Source organism: Homo sapiens, chromosome 9 (genome assembly GCF_000001405.40).
Source record: "Homo sapiens chromosome 9, GRCh38.p14 Primary Assembly".
Lineage (NCBI taxonomy): Eukaryota > Metazoa > Chordata > Mammalia > Primates > Hominidae > Homo > Homo sapiens.
Window position 1 is genome coordinate 110,032,424 of NC_000009.12, and position 20,000 is coordinate 110,052,423.

At 42.9% G+C, this 20,000-nt stretch overlaps 1 protein-coding gene across 15 annotated transcripts in view, besides 6 other annotated features; it reads left to right on the forward strand.

The window, feature by feature from the left end:
* Positions 1 to 20,000, forward strand: part of PALM2AKAP2 (PALM2 and AKAP2 fusion) — a 531,726-nt gene that overhangs the window by 391,637 nt on the left and 120,089 nt on the right. For 3 of the 15 annotated variants that reach the window (NM_001198656.1, NM_001004065.4, XM_047423421.1), the window contains exon 1: positions 16,175 to 16,432. The exons of the other annotated variants lie outside the window; for them this stretch is intronic. In NM_001198656.1, the coding sequence (NP_001185585.1) occupies positions 16,277 to 16,432 (156 nt within the window). In that variant the 5' untranslated portion in view covers positions 16,175 to 16,276. Of the gene's footprint in view, positions 1 to 16,174; positions 16,433 to 20,000 lie in introns of those variants that run through there. 15 annotated transcript variants of the gene reach the window in all.
* Positions 14,645 to 15,219: an enhancer, noted in NCBI's record as "NANOG-H3K27ac-H3K4me1 hESC enhancer chr9:112809348-112809922 (GRCh37/hg19 assembly coordinates)". NCBI's record gives its function as "activates a minimal SCP1, AML or CMV promoter by ChIP-STARR-seq in naive H9 embryonic stem cells {active_cell/tissue: H9 hESC(naive)}" and the evidence as "EXISTENCE:reporter gene assay evidence [ECO:0000049][PMID:30033119]".
* Positions 15,793 to 16,366: an enhancer, noted in NCBI's record as "H3K27ac-H3K4me1 hESC enhancer chr9:112810496-112811069 (GRCh37/hg19 assembly coordinates)". NCBI's record gives its function as "activates a minimal SCP1, AML or CMV promoter by ChIP-STARR-seq in primed H9 embryonic stem cells {active_cell/tissue: H9 hESC(primed)}" and the evidence as "EXISTENCE:reporter gene assay evidence [ECO:0000049][PMID:30033119]".
* Positions 15,793 to 16,511: a biological region, named in NCBI's record as "H3K27ac-H3K4me1 hESC enhancer GRCh37_chr9:112810496-112811069".
* Positions 16,072 to 16,511: a silencer, noted in NCBI's record as "silent region_20169". NCBI's record gives its function as "represses an Ori minimal core promoter by ATAC-STARR-seq in GM12878 lymphoblastoid cells {active_cell/tissue: GM12878}" and the evidence as "EXISTENCE:reporter gene assay evidence [ECO:0000049][PMID:35858748]".
* Positions 16,642 to 16,701: a silencer, noted in NCBI's record as "silent region_20170". NCBI's record gives its function as "represses an Ori minimal core promoter by ATAC-STARR-seq in GM12878 lymphoblastoid cells {active_cell/tissue: GM12878}" and the evidence as "EXISTENCE:reporter gene assay evidence [ECO:0000049][PMID:35858748]".
* Positions 16,792 to 16,931: a silencer, noted in NCBI's record as "silent region_20171". NCBI's record gives its function as "represses an Ori minimal core promoter by ATAC-STARR-seq in GM12878 lymphoblastoid cells {active_cell/tissue: GM12878}" and the evidence as "EXISTENCE:reporter gene assay evidence [ECO:0000049][PMID:35858748]".

The following is a 20,000-nucleotide window of genomic DNA, read 5'->3' on the forward strand; positions in this document are numbered from 1 at the left end:
GGCTTACGCCTGTAATCCCAGCACTTTGGGAGGCTGAGGCGGGCAGATCACGAGGTCAGGAGTTTGAGACTATCCTGGCCAATATGGTGAAACCCCATCTCTACTAAAAATACAAAAATTAGCTGGGCATGGTGGCGCGTGCCTGTAGTCCCAGCCACTCGGGAGGCTGAGGCAGAAGAATCGCTTGACCCCAGGAGGAGGCGGCTGCAGTGAGCTGAGATTGTGCCACTGCACTCCAGCCTGGGTGACAGAGTGAGATTCTGTCTCAAAATAAATAAATAAATAAATAAATAAATAAATAAATAAATAAATAAATAAAATAAAAAATAAAAAAACAAAAAAAATAAAAAAATAAAAAAACAAACAAACTAGCCAGGTGTGGTGTGCGCATGTCGTCTCAGCTACTCAGGAGACAGGTGGGAGAATCACTTGAGCCTGGGAGGATGAGGCTGCAGTAAGCCACAATCCTACCACTGCACTGTAGCCTGGGTGACAGAAGGAGACCCTATTTCTATTATAAATAAATAAATTTATTGAATGTCGTATTATATGTAGCATACCATATTTAAGCAGGGTCAAATTTTTGGTCTGACTTTTCAAATTAATGTGAATAAGTCACTTTGAAATTTTGGAGACAAAACCTTATTTAAGTTGAGAAATAGACAAACATTCATCCACTAAGAATTATTCTTTTTATTATTTTTAGTGTGTTTGAGTTGGTTCTTGCAAAGAAAATATAAACAAATCCCAAATATGAAAAAGTTTCTAAGTTTATATTAAGTGTATCCCATGAGTGACACAGGAAAATCCCTTTTAAGAGAAATGGTATTGCAAAAGACACAGCAAATCTTTTTCTCTTTTAAATAAAAATATGCATTCTGTGTCTAAGCATTTTCCAAACCTTTCTCCTTTGTGTGGCTTTTACTAAACCTTCAATCCTATAACAGTCATTGACTTCTTCCTACTTTCTTTTCCTCTCTTTCCTTCTCTCCCTTCACTCCCTTTCTTTTTCCCAGTGTTTACTGTGGGCTAGGCACTGTGTTAAACACTTTACCTGCATTTCTCTCTTTAACACTCAAAATGACACCATGAGATAGGTACCATTTTTTGTCCCATTGTGCAGATGAAGAAATCAACACTTTGAGAAGGTAAAGACTTTATAAGGTCACAAATTCTGGAAGAGCAGAGTCAGAATTCAATTCCAGGTTTGTCATATTTCAGAGCCCACAGTTTATTGCTTTCTGTGTAATGAGTAAATATTTCTTTTAGAATCAAAAAATATTTTAATTAAAATGTAATGACAGGAAAATAGTTTTGATCCTGGGAGCAAGAATTAGTCAAGAATGGACCTGATCTAAGACCACTGTAGTTTTTTGGACAGGCTATGAGCCAGTGGACTGGCACAGATGAATACAAATAACACATAGCTAATACTAATTGAGAATCTAAAAGGTGTATTCTGTGGCCTTTATAAGCATGAACTTATCCAATGAGTTCCATGAACTCATGATATAGATACTATACACTTGTTCTTATTTTAAAGACTAGGAATCTGAGGCACAGGGAGATAAAGTAACCTATGGAAGGTCCTGCTCAGAATCAGTGGAAGAATGAGGATTCTGCCTTCATTCCTAGCATTCTTCATGTGGTTAGCATAGTCCCCTAACCACAGTGCCAGGGCACCTCTTGCCTGTGATCCCTAAGTGCTCTTCTGCAGGTTTCTTTCTTTCCTTTTTTTCTATTGTTTTTTTGAGATGGAGTTTCACTCCTGTTGCCCAGGCTGGAGTGCAACGGCGTGATCTTGGCTCACCACAACCTCTGCCTCCTGGGCTCAAGCAATTCTCCTGCCTCAGTCTCCTAAGTAGCTGGGATTTACAGGCATGTGCCACCACGCCCGGCTAATTTTGTATTTTTAGTAGAGACAGGGTTTCTCCATGTTGTTCAGGCTGGCCTCAAACTCCCGACCTCAGGTGACCTGCTCGCCTCGGCCTCCCAAAGTTCTGGGATTACAGGCGTGAACCACCACACCCAGCCTCTTTTGCATGTTTCTTGGGGAATGCAGAGCCAGTTAACTTTACAACTAGCCATTCACTTGGAATTCACATCCACAGCATAGAAAAGACCATAGCGTATGCTTTCCCTATGGAGAGAATCCAATAACTATCAAGCCATATATTCCCCTTTTTTTTTTTTTTTTTTTTTTTGAGACACAGTTTCGTTGCCCAGGCTGGAGTGCAGTGGTGCAATCTCAGCTCACTGCAACCTCTGCTTCCCAGGCTCAAGCGATTCTCCTGCCTCAGCCTCCTGAATAGCTGGGATTACAGGTGCCCACCACCATGCCTGGCTAATTTTTGTATTTTTAGTAGAGACGGGGTTTCACCATGTTGGCCAGTCTGGTCTCAAACTCCTGACCTCGTGAACTGCCCTCCTCCGCCTCCCAAAGTGCTGGGATTACAGGTGTGAGCCACCACGCCCGGCTGCCATATATTCTTTGTATAAGTGACAGGTCTGAAAATAGCTGTGTTTATGATTACGGAGTTAAAGGGAAAAGAATGCCATAGCTAATGGGAGAGAAAAATGAAAGGTCAATTGAATTCGCCCATGGTAAATGTTAGAAATTTAAGGGTCAATGTGATCCTTTCATATGAAATACTAAGTTCTTGGAATCAACTTACGGGAAAATCTAGTATGTTTAGTGTTTTACAAGTGCTTTTTTTTCTGCCTAAAATTTAAGAAATACTTTACCCAATGTACTAAATATATATGTGTGCATGTGTGTGTGTGTGTATATATATAAAAAATATATATAATATAATATATAATTATATTATATACACACATATATAATATATAATATACATATTGTACATATGTATAATACATATTACATACATATGTATTATATGTATAATACATATTATATATATTATATGTATAATACATATTATATACATATATTATATGTATAATACATATACGTATATAATATGTATAATACATATTATATACGTATATTATGCGTATAATACAGATATATGTATATATATGATATGTTGTGTGTTATATATAACATATATATGATATGTTGTGTGTTATATATAACATATATAGGATATGTTGTGTGTTATATATAACATATATAGGATATGTTGTGTTATATATAACATATATAGGATATGTTGTGTGTTATATATAACATATATAGGATATGTTGTGTGTTATATATAACATATATAGGATATGTTGTGTGTTATATATAACATATATAGGATATGTTGTGTGTTATATATAACATATATAGGATATGTTGTGTGTTATATATAACATATATAGGATATGTTGTATGTTATATGTAACATATATAGGATATGTTGTGTGTTATATGTAACATATATATGATATGTTGTGTGTTATATATAATATATATGATATGTTGTGTGTTATATATAACATATATGATATGTTGTGTGTTATATATAACATATATATGATATATATATTGTTTTGGTGAGTTGGTACTTTTTTTTGTTATTGTTGAGATGGAGTCTTGCTCTGTCGCCCAGGCTCAAGTGCAGTGGCGTGATCTCAGCTCACTGCAAGCTCCACCTCCCGGGTTCATGCCATTCTCCTGCCTGAGCCTCCCGAGAGTACAGGCACCCACCACCACGCCCGGCTAGTTTTTTTGGTATTTTTAGTAGATACTGGGTTTCACCGTGTTAGCTAGGATGGTCTCAATCTCCTGACCTCGTGATCCACCCGCCTTGGCCTCCCAAAGTGCTGGGATTACAGGCGTGAGCCACTGCACCAGGCCCTGTGCTTTGTTTTTTTAAAAGAAACTTCCTAGAAACCCTGATCAAGTGGGAGTTTTTTTGAACCCGTTAATAAGAACACTTTATTGTAATGAAAATAAGAAGTATTTGGGCATGCATCTGATAATTATGTGTTGAATGCCTTCTGAGGGCAATGCTTTGTGCCATGTGTCATGTGCCTGGTGCAGCTTCCACTTCCAATTATGTCTGGAATCTGATTTCACCATTGATGTCACCACTCCACCATTACCATTCTGCTTTCAGCCATTATCATCTCTTGCCCAGATTATTACAATAGCTTCTAAGTGCTCTCCCGGCCACTCCTTTCCCTTTCTGTAACACAGACTCCACCCAGAAACAGCCACAGTGATGTTATAAAAATCTAAACCAAATCAAGTCATTTTTCTGCTTGAAATAATGCAGTGGCTTCTCATCTTATTCAGGAAAATAGGTAATCCAAAGTGCTTATCAAGGTTTGCAAGGACCTTAGGATCTGGCTCACTGCCAGTCTTCTCTCACCCCTCCTTTCTCAGCTCTGAAGTCCTCCTGGCTGCTCCAAACATGATTGCTCAGTGTCCCCACACCTGCTGTTCCCTATGCTCGAATGCTTTTCCCCTTGATGTCTCCCTGGCTCACTTCCTTCCATTCTCCAGGTCTCTGCTCAAATATCACCTCAGTAAAGAGTCTGTTCTTGACCATTACATAAAATAGTACTCACCTCCTACTGCCATCAATATCTATCCCTTTACCCTGTTTTATTTTTCTTTATAACAATTACCGCCTCCTGACACAAAATACATTTCATGTATCTGCATGAGTGAATTCAATTGGCCTTTTATTTTCTTTCCTGTTATCTATGACATTCTTCTCTTGCTTATTGTTTTTCTTACCTCATTGTCCATGCCATATTAGGTTGTAAGCTACATGAACATGGGGACTTTCCTTTTTTTTTTTCCAACAAATATTTTTTGTTGTTTGTTTTTTTGAAACAGAGTTTCACTCTTGTTGCCCAGGCTGGAGTGCAATGGCACGATCTCAGCTCACCGCAACCACAACCTCTGCCTCCTGGGTTCAAGCAATTCTCCTGCCTCAGCCTCCCGAGTAGCTGGGATTACAGACATGCGCCACCACGCCCAGCTAATTTTGTATTTTTAGTAGGGACGGGGTTACTCCACGTTGGTTAGGCTGGTCTCGAACTCCCGACCTCAGGTAATCCACCCACCTTGGCCTACCAAAGTGCTGGGATTACAGGCGTGAGCCACCGCACCCGGCTTCAACAACAAATATTTAATGAGCACCTACTCTATGCCAAGCTCTAGGCATCTAGAAATTAACAAAAGAGACCAGGTCTTGTACTTATGTAGATTACACTTCAGTAGGGTGAGATAGACAAGAAACAAGCAAGTAAATACTATCATATGAAAGATGGTGATTAATGCTCTGGAGAAAAATCAGAATGCTGTAGAATATGGGATGATTTGGTTAGGGCTAAAAGGATGACCTGTCTTTAACAAGGTAGGCAAGACTATAGGAGGAGCAGGTTTTGAGAGGAAATTAAGAATTTGCAATATACTTGTTAATTTAAAAATGCCTTCTAGGCATCCCGTGGAGAGGTTAAGTATGAGTCTGGAGTTCCATGGAGAAAATAAGCTGACATATAAATTTGGGATTCACCTGTGCACAGCCATTGACTGGATGAGATCACAGAGAGAATGGCCTGAGGGATAGAAGGGATCAAGCCCAAGTCATTGCTCATCCCAAATTAAAGATTTGTAAAATGAGAACGAACCTTAAAAGAGGACTAAGAAAGAATGGTCAGTGAGACTGGGCACAGTCGCTCATGCCTATAATCCTAGCACTTTGGAAGGCCCTCAAGGTGGCAGGATCGCTTGAGCCCAGGTGTTTGAGACTGGCCTGGGCAGCATAGCAAGACCTCCCTCTCTACAAAGAACAAAAAAATTAGCCAGGTGAGGCAGCACACACCTGTCATCCAAGGCTGAGGTGGGAGGATTGCTTGAGCCCGGCAGGTCAAGGCTGCAGTAAGCTGTCATTATACCATTGCACTCCAGCCTGGGTGACAGAGTGACCCTGTCTCAAAAACAAACAAACAAACAAACAAACAAACAAAAAACAAAAAGGTCAGAGAGCACTGAGGAGAATCAAGAAACAGTTGTGAAAGCCAAATGAAGAAAGCAGTTTAAATGTGACTGACTGACTGATGGCCTGTGTTAAATCCTGGTGAAAGATCAGGTCGGGTGAGTTTGGAGAAATGACCACTGGGTTTGGCAACCTCAAGGTCACTGATGACTTTGACAAGTGCTGTCTTGGTGAAAAAAACATCTCTTTTAAGAACTTTTGCTTTGAGGGGAAACAGGGAATTGAGGTGGTAGGATCAAGAGAATTTCTCTTAAAAAAATTATTGTAGGCTGGGCATGGCGGCTCATACCTGTAATCCTAGGACTTTGGGAGGCTGAGGTGGGCAGATCACCTGAGGTCAGGAGTTCGAGACTGGCCTGTCCAACATGGTGAAACCCCGTCTCTACTAAAAATACAAAAAAATTACCTGGGCCTGGTGGAGGGCGCTTGTAATCCCAGCTACTTGGGAGGCTGAGGCAGGAGAATTGCTTGAACGTGGGAGGCAGAGGTTGCAGTGAGCCGCGATTGTGCCACTCCAGCCTGGCAACAAGAGCAAAACTCGGTCTCAAAAAAAAAAAAAAAAATTATTGTCCTAGAAAACACTAATAACGTTGGCCTGGTGTGGTAAACCAGCAATTTGAGAAGCCAAGGCGGGGAATTGCTTGAGCCCAGGAGTTCAAGACCAGCCTGTGCAACATGGGGAAAGCTTGTCTCTACAAAAGATACAAAAATTAGCCAGGCATGCTGGCACATGCCTATAGACCCAGCTACGCAGGAGGCTGAGGTGGGAGGATCACTCGAGCCCAGGAAGTTGAGGCTGCAGTGAGCCATGATCATGCTACTGCACTCCAGCCATAGTGACAGAGTGAGACCCTCTCTCAATAAATAAATAATTTTAAAAAGAAAATTCATAATATACAATCTATCCTCTTAAAGTGTTCATTTAGTACAGTATTATTAACTGTGAGCACAAGAAAAATTTTTTTTGATAGAAGAAATCACAGCATATTTGATAAAGTGAAAGAAAATTCATGTTTTGGGAAGGATAAAATTGCTGGAACAATGTCCTAGAGGAGATAAGAAGGGAGGGATGGCGAGGCTGAGCGATTTTCCTAAGGTCACATAGCCAGTAAGTGACAGGTCAGGATTCCAATCCAGGTCTTCTGGCTCTCTGTTTTTTACTGACATTTTGCTATACCGTAAAATGAGAAAAATGGCTTGGGCAACATGTAACTTTCCTCCTAGTTCTAACTTTCATGTCTCTAACATTTTGATATGCCTTCACCCATCCCAAGCATGTAAAGAAAATTCCGAAGTCAAACATAGTAGCAGCAGCAGCAGCAGCAGCACCTATCTGAACCCACAGTTCTCGTCTAGGTGCTCACCTATCTCATCTCAACCACTCTATGAATTGCTTAGCAGTCAGCACTTGGACTCATCAACGCCTGAGCCCTCTGTGGGAATCACAAACTGTTTCTGATACCTGGCAGCTTTACTCATTTATGTTATCTGTCTGGCTTCCTAAGGTATTTGAGTTTGCAATGCTTGCTCCTAAAATTAACTAGGCAGTGGTCTAACAAGAAAAGGAAGGAAGGGAGGGAGGGAAGGAAGGAATGAAGGAAGGAGAGAAGGAAGGAAGACAGGAGAATACAAAGAAAGGAAGTACAAATGAAGGAAGGAAGGAGAGGAGAAGAGAGGAGAGGGAGAGGGAGCTATAAAGAAGGTATTTACTTAATGAGTTGGAAAATCTTCAAAAACAATATGGGTATAGGTACTTTAGTTGATTGTATTATAAGCTATTGTGGTTTCTAAAGTGATTTTATGTTGGCCATGGTCCCAATCCAACAGAGGCTTTTAATATGCTATAGAAGCTATTATTATTCTCCGTATTTAAATGATCTTAACACCTTATAATCGTAATAGTTACTTAGAGAAGTAATTAATTTATTCTGTGTATATAAACATAATATGCCTTCATAATATTGTCCCATCATCTTCAGTGAAGTTTACGTTAATGCTAGGAAAGCCATTTAATATGTTCAGTATACTAGAAGGAAAAAGCCCATTTCTCAGTGGATAGTTCTCAATACTAAAACATTTGACAAGCAAATCAAGACTACCGCAAAGACTATCTCTGAGAGAATCAGAATTCTTAAAACTTAAAATCTCAAGATTTGGTCTTTTTCCCCCTAATATGACTGGAAAATCTTATGGTTCTTCCCTTAAATTAACAGCCTGTGCTTAAAAGTTCTGAGGGAAACACTTGCAAATTACTAGGAAAATGTTACAGTCGTATTTTTTTTAACAAAAACTAAGAAATAATTTCCTGTTTTATCCAAAATTGAAAAGAAGTTAAGCACCACTGGAAAAGAAAAATACATTTGCATCTAAAACACAGGTCCCTAATGAGAAGAAATTCGCTTGGTTGACTCAGTAAGAGCTGTCTTCTGGGACTCCACACTATTGGCACTGTTTTCCAGCATTCTATCTGTGAACAAGCTGTGTACATTCCAAGTATATTAGGCATATTTTATGTTTTCAGTGCCATGCTTAAAGAGTACCTTGTTGTATGCTGTCTCTCTATTACAGCATGAACTCTGGAGTGTTTACTAGATTTTTTAAATGCTTCAGTTGCTAAATGAGATAAAAGTCTCAGCCAAGAACCAAAGAACTTGGACCTCATAGGACTTTGCTCCTGTTTATTATCAAAGTGATACATGGCTACATTCATGTCATTATTCCACAAGATTTGAGGCCTCTGGAATCAAGGTGCCATCTTGCTTTCTTCACCAGGGGACTCTGTCCTCTGGGCTCTTTCTCATTTCCCAACTCTGTGTTTCTCCTACATAGATACCCACTTTTCACTCTTTCCAACACAGGTCTTCCCATGCTGCTTTTTTGTTGTTGAAGATTTTAGTTTTGAATAGTGTTTTTTTTTTTTATTAGTATACTGGTGCCATTTACATGTATATTACAATGGGCAATTTGGGTGGTACAATGTTATGTCAATGTCGAGAAGGCACAGCCCAGCTACAGTCTGGAACACAGTGTAAACAATTCCATGGGGAAATGTTGCTTGGGTTTTGGAATGTTTCTTATGGGTGTTTTAAAATGTCTTTTAAAGAGGCTCAAGCAGCTGCGGTGAATATAATCAGGTCACCATTTCCTTATGTTTAAGGGTTTGGCGGAGGAGAGGCCAAGTGCGAGGATGCAGGGAAAGGAAATAAATGTGGAACAGGCAGGAAAGAAACTTACTTGGGCACAGGAAGCCAGAGACCCTGGAGAGGAAATAAAGGAAAAGCAGGAACCACAAACTAGGCTAAGAACCACAGTAAACACAGTCTGAGAGCCAAGTGTTCTCTTATGACACCATCCCTGTTTCTGTGTTTGGTTCTCTGTCCTTTCTTCAAGTAAGGGCGACTGTGTCCACCTCCGGTGGTTCCCAAATCAGGCTGTCACAGAATCAGATGGAAAGCTTAAGCAAACACAGATTCCTGTGCTCTGGATCACCTAGAGAAAGGAACCTGGAAATTTTCTTTTCTTGTTTTCCAGCTACTCCCAATGTAAGCCAACTTGGAAACAACTAATTTATAACATCTTAAAAGCTGACCACCTTATCTTAGGGAGAGGTCAACCCCTTGGAGAAGAGATGGTTTAGAAGGGTGTTTTTAATTGTATAAAACACAACTATAAGTCAATGCAAACAAGACCATAGACTAACATATGCCAGTCTTGGATGTGCATTCCGAAAGTTGATGGTTAAAATAGTCTATGGGGGCCGGATGCGGTGGCTCAGGCCTGTAATCTCAGCACTTTGGGAGGCCGAAGCTTGCAGATCACCTGAGGTTGGGAGTTTGAGACCAGCCTGATCAACATGGAGAAACCCGGTCTCTACTAAGAATGCAAAATTAGCTGGGCATGGTGGTGTGTGCCTATAATCCCAGCTACTTGGGAGGCTGAGGGAGGAGAATTGCTTGAATCCAGGAGGTGGAGGTTTTGGTGAGCCGAGATTGTGCCATTGCACTCCAGCCTGGCAGTAAGTCTATGGATGGATCATGCCTGCTACAGAAAAGCCAATGATGCTTAATCCAGAGATGACCTTTTTGCCATTAAGTAAGAACCAGAGATCAGTGAGAAATGTCTTACTTTGGAAATCCGTAAACATACAAATCATCCATATGGATGGTGTAAAACCACTAGTTGAGCTAGAGTAAGCAAATGATCTTTGTGGATTCTAGGAATTAATTGACTAAATATCCCATGTCCTCCTGCTTACACTCCTACCAACATAGTATTGGAGGTTGTCTGATGCTCACCCCACTATTTTTATGGATTTTTATCTTGAGGCACAATGGGTTGGGGTTAGTTCTCCTAGACTCTTGTTGTTCTGATTTCCTATTTCTTCTGAATTATTTTTTTAAAATTCTTTTTTAATTTTTGTGGGTACATAGTAGGTGGCATGTAATGTATAAATAATTACATCAGAGTAAATTGGGCATCCATCACCTCCCCAGTATTTTTCTTTTGTGTTACAAACAACCCAATTATAGATTTAGTTATTTTTAAATGTACAATTAAATTATTTTTGACTGTGGTCACCCTGTTGTCCTAGCAAATACTAGGTCTTATTCATTCTTTCTATTTTTTGGTATCCATTAATCATCCCTACTCCTCTGCCTCCCTGCTACCTTTCCCAGCCTCTGATAACCACCCTTCTACCCTCTATCTTCGTGAGTTCATCCTCTGAATTCTTACTTGTTACATCCATTTTGCCTCCTATGCCTGGTCTTCACCCCACACCAACTCACACATAAACCCCTTCCTTCCCTTTGGTGTCCCAGTTTTCAAATGCTGTTATCAGAAGTATAGGGGGTTACAAGAAGTGTTTACATCACAACATAACACTCAAACAACTTTAAAAGTGTATATTAAATATTTTCTTTTGGCCCTCTCTGTGATCTGGAATTTCTTGTTTACTGACTCCTCCCCACCACTCTGGTCTTTCATCCAATTTGAGAGATTTTGTAAACTTCTGAATTCCAAAAATGAATTGCAGGTGCAAGTGTATAAACATTTTCTATCTCTAGAGTTATCACCAAATTATCTTTCAGATTTACCAATTTATTATCAATCTGTATGCCCATCAATAAAGTATAATCACTTGATTTTCATCATTCCCTTGCCAAAAATACATATTTGTATTTTATATATTTACTCATATTGTAGGCAAAAAAAAATTAGTCCAATATTTTACTTGCACTTTTTTAATTATGAAGAGTTTGAGTATCTCTTCACAAGTTCAAGGGTCATTTTTACTTATTTATCTGTAAACTACGTTTTTTTTGGTGTTTTTTTTTTTTTTTTTTTTTTGGAGACAGTCTCTCACTCTGTCACCCTGCTGGAGTGCAGTGGCACGATCATGGCTAACTGTAGCCTTGACCTCCTGGGTCCAAGCAATCCTCCCATCTCAGCCTCCCAAGCAGCTGGGATCACAAGCATGTCACCACACCCCGCTCATTTTTTAATTTTTTGTAGAGATGGGGTCTCACCATGTTGCCCAGGCTGGTCTCAAATTTCTGGGCTCAAGTCATCCTCCCACCTTGGCTTCCCAAAGTGTTGGGATTACAGGTGTGAGCCACCACATCCAGCCCAGGTTTGTTTTTTCTATTAAGGAGTTGGTAGTTTTCTTCAATTTTCTTATTGATTTGCAAAAACTCTTCACATATGAGGAGTAGTAACTCATTGTCATATATGTTGCAAATATTTCCCCCAGTTTGTTTCTTCTCTGAAATTTTCAGTGGTGCATCTGATCCCATGAGGATCCCCCTGGGCTTGGGATTACTGCTAGCTTTTCAGTGAGGTCACCCACTGTTTGGTGGGAAAGCCCCAGGGACATAGAGCTATTTGTTTAGTGTGAGCGAGTCTTTTTGTTTCTGTTGTTGTTTGCTTTTCCTGCTTTTTCTTTTTCTTTCTTTCTTTTTTTTTTTTTTTTTTTTTTTTTGAGATGAAGTCTCCCTCTGTCGCCCAGGCTGAAGTGTAGTGGCCTGATCTCAGCTCACTACAACTTCTGCCTCCAGGGTTCAAGTGATTCTCCTGCCTCAGCCTCCCAAGTAGCTGGGATTACAGGCACCTGTCACCACACCCAGCTAATTTTTGTATTTTTAGTAGAGACGGGGTTGCACCATGTTGGCCAGGCTGGTCTCAAACTACTGACCTCAGGTGATCCACCCGCTTCGGCCTCCCAAAGTGTTGGGATTACAGGCGTGCCACCACACCCGGCCTTCCCTCTTTTTCTTACTTTTTTTTTTTTTTAAATTTTCAGCCAACTTTTATTTTCTGTAGGACATATTTAGCACTTGTGAATTACTCCCAGCTGATACTTTTTGGTCTTTCGCCTTGCTAGGAGGAGGAAATAGTAAATTCCCTTTTATGATGCACTGTCTTGCCCCCACCTTCTGGTTTTCAGATCAGTTCTCTGAGACACTTCTAAGTCTATTTTTCAGCTTCTACTGTTCTCTAAGTTTGGGGGCATGTGTCTACTGCTAGACCATTATTATTTGCTGGATTTAGTTCATTTTGCTCAGTTTGGGGAGAGAGGGAGAAGAGCTTCTCTCAACCTGTATCTAGGCTAACTTCCTCCCCAGAAAGCTGTTCTTTACTTTGTGTGTTTTTCTAGAAAGAACATTCTACTTCTTGGGTCCCCTGGCTCAGGGGTGTAGTTTAAAGTGGGCCAGCAGCATGGGAGAGGCAAAGTGAGTAAAAATGTACACTTAGGCCACAGTGAAAGAAATCTTCATCTCCTCTCCCCCTAAAAAAATTTCCATGGAAGATTTTGTGCCCTTGATGGTATAGGGCCTGTGGGAACATGTAACATTTACACGTTCGAGTTATATTTCTCTCACATAATTAATAGCCATTTATTTTATTCAAATATGCTCCTAAAATACATCTAGGAGAGTAAATATGCTTCTTTTATTATAAAATATTCTCAGCTCTAATAATCATTATTATGTTAACACACGTATGATGTGATGAACCACAAGCAGGCAGTGGGTGATAAAGCTAACCTTGCCCATTGCCAGTGTTTCCCAAACTTTCATGTTTTTAAGAATCATCTGGGAGCTGTTAACGCAGTTTCCTTGGCCCTGCCCCACACATTCTGATTCAATAAAGGTGGAGCCCAGGAATCTGCCTTTCTTTTTTCTTTCTCTTTTTTTTTGATGCAGTCTCTCTCTGTCGCCCAGGCTGGAGTGCAGTGGTGCAATCTCGGCTCACTGCAATCTCTGCCGCCCGTGTTCAAGCGATTCTCCTGCCTCAGCCTCCTGAGTAGCTGGGATTACAGGCTTCTGCCACCACGTCTGGCTAATTTTTGTAGGTTTTTAGTTGAGATGGGGTTTCACCATCTTGGCCAGGCTGGTCTTGAACTCCTGACCTCGTGATCCACCCACCTCGGACTCCCAAAGTGCTGGGATTACAGGCATGAGCTACCACACCCTGCCGGAATCTGCCTTTTTAACAAGCACTATCTGTGGTCTTTAGTACTGGCTTCGAAAAATTCTGGGGCAAGATATCTCAACCTCAGCATTACTGACATTTAGGGCTCAATAATTCTTTGTTGGTGGGGCGCTGTCCTGTAGATGCCAGTAGCAACCCCCCTAATCGTGACAATAAGAAATGTCTCTAGACATTGCCAAAATGTCCCCTGGGGAGTTCAATCACCCTCAATTGGGAACCACTGGCCTAGGAGAAAATAAATGAGAAAATGTTAATTAAAAACAGTGTTTACTTTTGCATGCAGCCATTCATACTCTTGCATGGATTTCATTGAACAAATTAAACAACTATTTCTGAGCATCTGGTATGTACCAAGCCTTTTATATTAAAAATGTTTAATCATGGCTACCTCTTTAATAATTTGGAAGGTGGAAGAAAATGTTCTTATAAATTAATATCTATTAAGCATATATTTTTCCTAAATTAATATTCCTAATAGTTTTCTGAAGAATATTCTAGAACTTTAAAATTAATATTAACAAAGCATTGACGTTGTTTTAGTAAAGAAGCAATTCAGAATAAAGTTGGTATGATTGCTTTACTTTTTTTTTTTTTTTTTTTTTGAGACGGAGTTTCGCTCTTGTTGCCCAGGCTGGAGTGCAATGGCACGATCTCGGCTCACTGCAACCTCTGCCTCCCACGTTCAAACAATTCTCCTGTCTCACCCTCCTGAGTAGCTGGGATTGAAGGCATGCGCCACCACGCTTGGCTAATTTTGTATTTTTAGTAGAGACGAGGTTTCTCTATGTTGGTCAGGCTGGTCTCAAACTCCCGACCTCAGATGATCCGCCCACCTCGGCCTCCCAAAGTGCTGGGATTACAGGCGTGAGCCACTTCACCCGGCCTTGCTTTACTGTTTCTAATAATGAAACTAATTTTGTTTGTAAATTTTACACTTATTCTAATTTAGGAAAATATGAGAAGGGAGTGATGAAGTACCTGCCATGATATTGTTTATAACATCTCACATCTGATGTAATTCTAAAATTCTTCCTTAGAGAGTCTATGGTCCATATAAATAAATAAGTGATATCCAAGCACACTCATTTTAATGTGAGTTTTTCACATGATATTAAAATGTTAAAAATAGATCAGTATGTAGGGCATCCAAGCATTTAATTCCTTAAATCGGAGACATGAGGAGAAAAAAATGAAAAGGAAGAAAGAAAAGAAGGAAAAGGAAGGAAGGAAGAAAAAGTTGAGTCAAGGCTGAAGCTCTGGCATCTCTAACCACTGGTCAGTAAATTCTATTGAAATTCAATAGTATAAGAGACAAACAGGCAAAAAGGATCGTGAAACCATTTCCAAATACCAAGATAAAGGAGGCTATTGACATTCAGGAACCCTGAGAACAGCTGATGTCCCATTGTAGACTTCATCCTCTTCCTTGGGTGAAAGTGTGAATAGCGCTCAAGGCAGGGAAGAAGTCTTTTCTCTGAAGGTGCTATTTATGGTGCCCTTGGCCTGGATGGGCTTTCTGGGTAGTTCCCAAGGGTATCATTTCTTTGTATTGGAAATCAGGGACCTTTGTGGGTTAGGAAAGTAGAATCAGGCCATGGCTATTGTCTTTCCCTGCTGTGTTTCACATGTAAAATTGACTCCCAGAAGAGCATCCCAGGGCCTTGTCAAGGAGTGGGGAAAATAGCAGACTGCCCTAGGGTGGAAACCTAACTGAGAGTGCAAGGGCGACTTGCAAAGCTGGGGAGAGAGAATTACTGGGAAAATCGTGCCTAGGGCAAAGCTGAATTCAAGAAATCTGACTTTTGTGATCTTCCTCTGCTGAGAATGAATGCGGCCACCTACAGCAGAGTAAGACCACAGCTTGCTTTTGAAAGTGTTGCTCTCTAGGTGGGGTGTTTGTTTGTGTGTGCCTGTCCTCTCTCAGGATTTCTAGACGGTTCATTTTCAAAGGGTCATTAACATTATTTAAATATTCATGGTGGAGGAGGGGATGAGAGACTGAAATTTCAGACATCTCAAGAGTGAGGGATGGCTGGCCACCCGCCTAATACAGCCCCAGTCTGCGGATCAGCTGCCTCCTTCCCCTCCGCTGGCTTTGTTAGCACACGCGCTCTGACACCGGGCCACCGGCTGCCACTACACGGAGGGCAGCAGGAAGGCTCTGGCGAGCCAGTGAGCTGGAAGCATCTCTGTCCACACCTCAGCCTCTGAACCCCATCGGGGGAGTCCTCAAACACGCGGAGACACCATTACTGCCACAAAGACGCACTTCGCAACCAGTTCCGGGAGTCGCTCTGACCCTGAGGACAGTCGTGGTGCTAGGTAAGGGACGAGGGGCTGTTTCCCCGCCTGAGTGGGAACTCAGCGGCTCCTGGCATTTGAGCGCACACAGGCACTCACACACTTCCACATACGCTCATGCGCACATATGTGTACACCAACACACACGTCCACATGCACACACAGCGACACGCCACCCCGCTCCAAAGCCCCGTGCGCTAACAAGTATCCATATACCCAGACACAGCGCTCCCCTGAGTTAGGAAACACTCAGCTTTGCCCGCCCCATCCATCCCTCCGTCTTTCCCTCTCTCCAGTCTCTGCATTCATTCATTTCTTCGTTTGTGCATCGATTCCGCCGAAGCCACTGAGAGGAGAAGGTGTGGGTAGATGGGGAGGGGAGGGGAGGGAGGGGCGGTCCGTGGGCGCTGGGCTACTGGAGGGGAAGCGAGGAGGCGGGGAAGGGGCGGGCCCCAGGAGCAGGCGGGCGGGGCTCCCCGCCCTCCAGCGCGCCCGGAGGCTACCACTCCCTGCAGATGCGCTGGCCCCAGCCCGGGGCTGCCGCTCGCCTTCCCCCGGAGTCTCCTGGACCCCCGGAGTCTCCTGGACCCCCGGAGCGGGAGGCAGCGGCCGCGCGGCGCTGGACTGGAGCAGAACCCCAGGACTGCGCCCCCGGGAGCGGGCGCCCAGAGGTGGGTGTCCAAGCTGGGGAGGGGAGGGGCTGGAGTGTCCTCGAGTGTGAGGAAGGGGTGGCCGAGGAAGGGGTTGCCGAGGAAGGGCTGGAAATCTGGGAGTCCTCGGAAGCACCGCGGGCTTTTAAAGGGCTTTTTGTGGTCCTTGTCGAGCGGAGCGTGTGCTGGGAGAGGGCCCGGGTGGAGGGGCTGTGGCCATGTGGATTTGAATTCCTAGGTTTGTGGGAGGGCCAAGCCTTTGGCTGCTTTGTTCAATGCTTATCATTTATATATGCTTTAAAAACTAAACGCAGGACTCCGCTTCTCCCTGTATACACACAGAGCTGGGCTGTGTGTCCTTTTCAGGAAAAGCAGTGAAATCAAATGTGGTCGTGGCCGCATCTCCTGCCCCGGGAGCACCGGGAGGTGCAGCCGTTCCTTCTAGCTCGCGAGGAAGGCGCGGGTCCTGCCTTTTGGGTGGCAGAGCCGGGGGCATTTTCGCAAGTCCTGAACTTTTCAGAGAGACTGAAGTCAGGGAGGGCCGGGCCCCGGCCCCGGTCCCGGCCCCAGCCAGAGTCTTTCGGGATAGGGTCCAGGGAGCTGAACTCAGGAGATGATGCAGGAGGAGCCAGCAGCCTCTTCTGCCCTGGGAGGGAGAACGCGGTCCGGGTCCGAGCTGAGCCAGAAGTTTGGCCTGAGGCTGGGACCTCAGCAGTTAGAATGTGGTATCTTATCCGAGATAAAGCCGGAGTTTGCGTCTCTGTGGGCCCTTCTTGGGGACACTCTGGGGTATGGGAAGAGCAGACCGTGGGGGAGAGCACTGGGCAAGCCGTACCTGTAATGTCCGTGGAGGCGACGCGCCTGCAAGAACCAGAGCAAGGAGACACTGGTGGCCCCAAGAAATCCCAGAGAAACGGAGTGGATAGGAGGGGAGTAAAACGGAGCCCGGGAGAGCCGGAAGCCCGCAGCAGGGAGCTGTGGCGCTGGTGGCCGGGTGAGGACTGAAGGCAAAGGGCGAGGCGGCGTGCAGCCGGGCTGCCGAGCTCTCCAACGCGGATGCCAGGCGCTCGCCAGCCTGAGGGATCCCTCCTGACCCACAAAGAGGGCGTCTGGGAGGTGACTCGTTTAGAGAGATGGTGGATTCCCTTTCCAGACCCAGGAAAGCCCGTTTCCCGTGTGGGGTAGCATGGGTTTGGCTCTGATAGGCTGCGTGGTCAGATCAGACTTTGACATATCACTACCCTTCCCCGTAGCAGTTTTAAATGCAGCACAGGTGATTTGGGAAGACTTCCTAAATGTATAATATTTCTTTTTGAAAAGAAACTTCACCTACTCATACGTCTATACACCTCTCTCTGTATTGCATCTTGGAATCTGTGAACAAGCCCATGTCTCCCGGGAAGCGCTCTTCTATCCCAACTCCCGTTTCACAGGCTCCTGGAGACTGCATGAATACAAACTCCTCTCACCATTGGGATCCCAGGGAATTTGCTTCCTTGTCTTTTGTTCTGATTAGAGTTCATTTAAGCATCACACTTTTCTTTCTGGAAATGTTCTTAATTTAAATTTAACTAAGCTTCCCTTTCTTCCAGTCTGGCAGCTTCCCCAACATTCATGAATACAATTTCATAATAATATGTCTAGAAATGAGGAGTATCCAGCAAGGAGTTTTACTCTGTTTCTTTAAACATAAAGACTTGGCCTAAAGAGTGTTTTAAGCAATGCTCCGCTGCCGGTTGTCTCCTCCCCAGTTTTGACCCTTGGCCCTTTCTCTGTTTTTCTTTTCTTTTCTTTTTTTTTCTTTTCTTTTCTTTCGAAGTTTTGCTCTTGTTGCCCAGGCTGGAGTGCAATGGCATGATCTTGGCTCACTACAACCTCTACCTCATGGGTTCAAGCAATTCTCCTGCATCAGCCTCCCGAATACCTGGGATTACAGGCACCCACCACCACACCCGGCTAATTTTTATATTTTTAGTAGAGATGGGGTTTTGCCATGTTGGCCAGGCTGGTCTTGAACTCCTGACCTTAGGTGATTCACCTGCCTCGGCCTCCCAAAGTGCTGGGATTACAGGCATGAGCCACCACACCCGGCCTGGCCCTTTCCTTAAAGGGCATCTTCTCCTTTGAGTGGAGGCACACCAAGTTTCCTGCAATTATCTTGGACAGCACCAACAAAATTAGTCCTGAGCCAGGGACAACAAAAGTAAGGCTGCCTGTCTCCCAGTCTTTACTTAACCAACTCTGCTGGAGAGTTCATTTCACTTTCTTTCTGGGATGCTGAGATGCTAGGATGAGAGGAATAGCTGGGCTTTGAGATGGGACAAACATTTTGAAATACTCATTATCTCATAGTTCTGGCATGACAGTTGGCACCACTTCCTGCCTGCAGAGTCTGAAGTTATTTCACTTTCATAAGTGGCTTATTCTGACTCAGTAGCCTCAGGACCTCTGGCTAATAAAGTGAAGTAGGTTGTCTTAACTTCGTTGTCAAATGAAGGGAGAATGAATCCACTGGCTTTATTTCTGAAAGTTTGAATATTTTCTTATAGAACTAACATTAAATATTACTTCCAAAAATGCAAACACTTTGGTCTTTCTAGTCATTGTAATTATTGTCTAGATAATTACAATAATCCAAACAATAACCATTACGGATTTGGTGAGCTCTTAAAATACCCATGTCCCAGATTTCTGTCACGGTTATTACCAGTCTCTGCTTATTAAGGTAATGAGAAATGTTTCAAATGAAGATGAAATTGAATTTGGATGGAGGTTGTGTTGAGGGATTTTAACAGTTGAAACAGGAGCATGCTAAAAAGTTACTTCTGAAGACCAAGGATAGACTGTTTAGTTCCAGTCTTTAGCTTTATACATGACTCAACGCCAGTAGAATTGATGCTGTATCTTGAATCAGCTTTTGGAATGATTGTTTTTTGATCTTAAGAAACATAGTACTCACTGCTTAGATTGTTGATCAGGGATTCTGTGTCAGCTATTGGAAGTTTGAAGTAATTGATTAGTATCTTGATGAGCTTCAACAATTTCAGTAAGTTTGGGTAGCAAATTGCACCCTTTTTTTTTTTTTTGAAATGGAGTCTTTCTCTGTTGCTTGGGCTGGAATGCAGTGGCGCGATCTCGGCTCACTGCAAGCTCCGCTTCCCCGGTTCACATCATTCTCCTGCCTCAGCCTCCCAAATAGCTGAGACTACAGGTGCCCACCACCACGCCCAGCTAATTTTTTGTATTTTTAGTAGAGACAGGGTTTCACCATGTTAGCTAGGATGATCTCGATCTCCTGACCTCGTGATCTGCCCGCCTCGGCCTCCCAAAATGCTGGGATTACAGGCATGAGCCATCATGCCCGGCCCACCATTTTCTTTATACTGTGCAAACTCAACACCCAGAGGCAGAATTTCTGTAAAGCTAAAAATAAAGGAACAACTTCAACTTCAGTTTCTCTCATTGGCATGAGCCTCACCCAGCAGCACTTCGGGTAGCTTGGGCCTCAGGGAAGAATGTTACCATGGACCATGATGGGAGTTAAGGTAATCCATATACATGTATATCTTACTTTGTAAAATAATCCCCT